The 4,607-nt window shown below is 45.4% G+C and overlaps 1 annotated feature.

Annotated features, from left to right (window-relative positions):
• Positions 3,733–4,234: an enhancer, noted in NCBI's record as "H3K4me1 hESC enhancer chr12:127858323-127858824 (GRCh37/hg19 assembly coordinates)". NCBI's record gives its function as "activates a minimal SCP1, AML or CMV promoter by ChIP-STARR-seq in naive H9 embryonic stem cells {active_cell/tissue: H9 hESC(naive)}" and the evidence as "EXISTENCE:reporter gene assay evidence [ECO:0000049][PMID:30033119]".

The following is a 4,607-nucleotide window of genomic DNA, read 5'->3' on the forward strand; positions in this document are numbered from 1 at the left end:
AATAAGGCCATGTACACAGAGGGTATATAGCCACAGAAACACTTCATCAGCATTAGAATAAGAATATGGTCTCACCTAAATGTGTACTTGAGTCCCAGTGTCATATATCTATTGTATATTTGCAGAGGTGATATCTACCATAGTTAAAGCTGTGAGAGCATGGACCTGCCCATACTACTAGTGGAAGTCAGACATAAAAGGTCAGTATACACACACCAGTGCCCACAGAGAAATATCAGCCCTGCACATTTGGGAAACTCTATTTTTGAAAATAAATCCCGTAATTTTCTTTTGAATCACGTTAGTATTTTTTATTTGGGTTAAAGGCATTGGTGTAATAAACATAAACATTTAAATAACACCACACTTTTTAAACCCTGTTTTTATTAGTTTTCCATGGTACTGTAATAAATTATGATAAACTTAGTGTCTCAGAGCAACGTACATTTATTATCTGAGAGCCTGGAGGTTAGAAGACAAAAACAGGTTTCGCCAGACTAAAATCAATTGTCCACAGCACTGCATTCCTCCTGGAGGTCCAGGGAAGAATCTACCTTCAAAGCCAGCAATGCCCAGCACCATCTTCCTCGGGTTGTGTCACTCTGGTCTCTGCTTCTGTCACAATACCTCCTTCTCTGACTCTCTGCCTCCACTTATTTATCTAAAAGGCTTTGCTATTAGATTGGGCCCACCTCAATAATCCAGGATTGTCTCCTTAATCTCAATGTCCTTAATTTCGTCACATCTGAAAAGTCCTTTCTGCCATGTAAGTTAACATAATCACTGGTTCCAGGCATTGGGATATGGACACTTTGGGATTAATTATTCTGCAGTGTTCTTTTTTAAAAAAATGTTTCAGGAGCTTTGTACACAGAAGTGTTCTTGACTTTCTTCTACACTGAGGTCCATGTTCTTGGCAGGGGCTGTGGCCGCAGACAACACACTCCCTGCTGTGTTCCAGAGACACCGCCAGCAGCCAGTGGGCCCGGAACCCCAGAAATGTTCTCCTACCTGGGATGCCTCTAATGTTCTCCCACCTGGTGTACCTCTAATGTTCTCCCACCTGGGATACCCCTAGTGTTCTCCCACCTGGGGTATCTCTAATGTTCTTCCACCTGGGGTACCTCTAATGTTCTCCCACCTGGGAAGCACCTCGCCTGGAAAACTGACACTTCAAAACTCTTTGGGGTGACTGAGAAAGCCTTTTTCGTTACTCTCATTCTGGTTTCCTAAACCAGAATTAGAAGCTCATTATTTCAGGAAAGAAAGCATGAGTCTCAACAGAGCCTATTTGTGTAAGGTCTGTATTTTGTTTGTAAAGCAAAACAATTTGGATATCTCTATCTACCTATCTATATAGATACATGGAACCAATTTTAATAGATGTAGAATTTCAGTTTTACAAGATGAAAGGAGTTACAGGGGTGGATGGTGGCGATGGTCATACAATATTATGAATGTGTTTAATACCTCTGAACTGTGCACTTAAAAATAATTAAGATGGTAAATTTTATATGTGTATTTTACCACAATAAAACATAATTTTATAAAACTGAACTAGAAGGTTAATTGCTTTATTCTGAACACATCGAAGGTGTATGCTGAATGTCACTCCCAGGAACGCTTGACTGGAACGCAGGGGCCTGGTGGTGTGGTCTTGGGCCAATCTATCCACTTTGTGGGTCTTGATTTTCACAACTATAAAATGGGCATAATGCCAGTTGCCATTCTGGATTCTCCACCCAAGTGCTCAAGACAAAATCCTATGTGTACCCCCTACTTTCTCTTTTTTCCTGAGCCCCCACATCGAGGCTCCTGTCCTTTCAGCTGAGAAACATTTAATGAAACCCAGCCTCTTCTCCCCACACCAGTGCCACCACCAGGATCAAGCCAGCAGCACTTCCCACTGCAAGAGCTTCCCAGTGGGCTCCTTGTTCCCGCCTGAAGCCTGAAGACTCTTCTCCTCACTGCAGCCACATCGCTTAATCCTTTCAAAGCTCACATCTGATTATGGCACCACCAGCATTAACGTCATATGGCTTCTTACTGAGCTCAGAATGCAGACTCCAATCTTTATGGCCTTCAGGGCCCTTCCCGGTCTGACCCATCTGAGATCCCAGCTGCATCTGGCCCCTCTCAACAACCTCTTCCCTGTACCCGTTATCTGGCCACAACACTGCACGTCCCCTGCTCTCTCTGTCCTGCCGCAGAGCATTTGAATTGTTCTTCCCTGCCTTGAATGCTCTCCCCATGCCCCCTAGGTCTAGTCAGCCCATTCGAGATTGTCATTCATTCAACAGCTGTCAACTGGGCACCCACTGCGTGTTTGATCATGTGTTTAGTGGGATCCTTATGGGATGAATGTCTTCCTCCAACACACACACACGTGTGCGCGCGCGCACACACACACACACACACTGCCGCCAAGTCCCATGTGTTTTTCCAGGGTTAAGCTGACCTTAGTCCTCTACCACCCACCAACCAGCCCCAAATGCAACCGTCATAGGAAAAATGCAAGAGCAGAAGACATAAGAAGAAGGGACAGGGAAAGGAGAAAAAAGAAAGAAAAGATAAATATTTTTAAAAATAAAGGAAAAAAGAAAAAGGAATGGAATGAGAGAAAGAGGGAGGCAGGCTGAAGGGATGCTCCTCAGAAGGTGGCATCCAAAAAGCCAAGGTGGCTGCAACTGTTACCTCCATCTCTCTTTCAGCTCTTATTTCAACATACATTTTTTGAACATCCATGAGATGTCAGGTTCTCTTCCAGGTGGTGCGTATACGAAAGTATGAAGACGCCTGTAATCCCAGCACTTCGGGAGGCCAAGGCGGGCAGATTACAAGGTCAAGAGATGGAGACCATCCTGGCCAATATGGTGAAACCCTGTCTCTACTAAAAATACAAAAATTTGCTACTTGGCAGGCTGAGGCAGGAGAATCGCGTGAACTCAGGTGGCAGAGGTTGCAGTGAGCTGAGATCGTGCCACTACATTCCAGCCTTATGACAGGGTAAGACTTCATCTCAAAAAATAAAATGAAATAAAATAAAATAAAATAAATGTAAGTATGAAGATAAACATGAGCTGCCCTCATGGAGCTGACATTCTCCTGAAGACAGAGAAAAGTCAGCAAACAAATAAATGTAATAAGATTTAGAACAGTGCCAAATGCCATGAAAGGAAGAAAAAAGATAGGACAGGAAGACCAGGCAGGAGACGAGGACAGGCATCTGGCAGGAGATGGTGGTGGCTGGGCTCCGCTGCTGGTGGTGAGGCAGAGTAGAGGGTTAACTCTGGATATATTTTGGAGGTTACAGCCACTAGAACTTGCTGATGGACTGAATATGATTCTTGAAAATGGAGAAGCATCCTGGGTGACTCCTCTATTTTTATTCCAAGCAGTGGGATGATGGTGGTGCCATTTGCTGATTAGGGGAGACTGATGGAAAATTCTGTCAACACAAAAATGGGACTTGAAGAACCTCATGAACTCTGGAATTACCGAAAGCTTAGTAAACCCTTTACAAATTAGGTTCCCAGAAACAAATGCCACAGGCAGAGTTAATTAACAGGAATTTCACTGAATGAGAGGCTTGTTCTTAGAGTTACAAATGATGCCCTTTGAACGGCAACTCACATCAGAATCACTAAGTATTCAGCCCATGGACTGGGAGCAGAAAGTTGAATCTATTAGTAGTGGAACAAGAATGAATTTCTGGTGAAAACACAAATGGCCCGTGGCCAAGTGACTGTCTAACAACTGATCACTTGCAGTGTGCTTGCTGGTGTGCCACTGAAGAAGGTCTGCGTGTCTCATCTGAAATGTGAAGGCCAACAGCAGTATCACTGAAATCAGTAACAGTGCATGGTCCTCATCACCGATTGCCAAACATTTCAGAGGAAAGAACTGGGACTTGGAAGGTGTGGATTTTAAGGTCTGTTTAGGCGCTGCCTGGCTGGGTACAATAAACACATTCTTTGAACCAGAGTAATAACAGGATAAATGACCTGGGAAAGGTCACCCCGTGCCTCAGTTTCCCTTGGAGGGTGACCTTAATTAGATGATCAACAATGTTTCCATACAAATCAGATACACTCTGTGGGCTTTCAGCTGCCGAAACACAGCGGACAGAGACATGAGATGGGGATGGCGAAGCCGACGCCACCAGGAGCCGAGCGTGCACGTGGGGGAAGCAGGCCTGGCTGGGGATGGGCGCAGTGTGGAGATCTGCAGAGTTTCAGGGTGGTGGATGAATGTGTGGACTCTGGAGTCAAGTGGCCTCTGGGGAGGTGCTGTCATCCCCGTGTTGTAGGCGGGGACACTGAGGCTCAGGGACATCCAGGGACTTGCCCCAGGTCCCACAGCCAATAAGTGGCAGAGCAGATATTTGAAGCCAGGTTGGCCTGGCTCTAGGACCCAATGCTCCTAACTCTGTGCTTTAGAGGAGCTTTGCCATCTGTGGTCCTGATATGCCACCTCCTAGATTTCCCTGCTCAGCCTGGCCAAGACAAGAACAGGACCAGATGTCCCCATCCAGGAAGAAGCTGACTCAGCTTCTACCTCTGCTCCCCTCTGCCTTTGTCATGTGGAAAGAGCCAGGAATGCCATCA

Source organism: Homo sapiens, chromosome 12, assembly GCF_000001405.40.
Source record: "Homo sapiens chromosome 12, GRCh38.p14 Primary Assembly".
NCBI classification, from domain to species: Eukaryota; Metazoa; Chordata; class Mammalia; order Primates; family Hominidae; genus Homo; species Homo sapiens.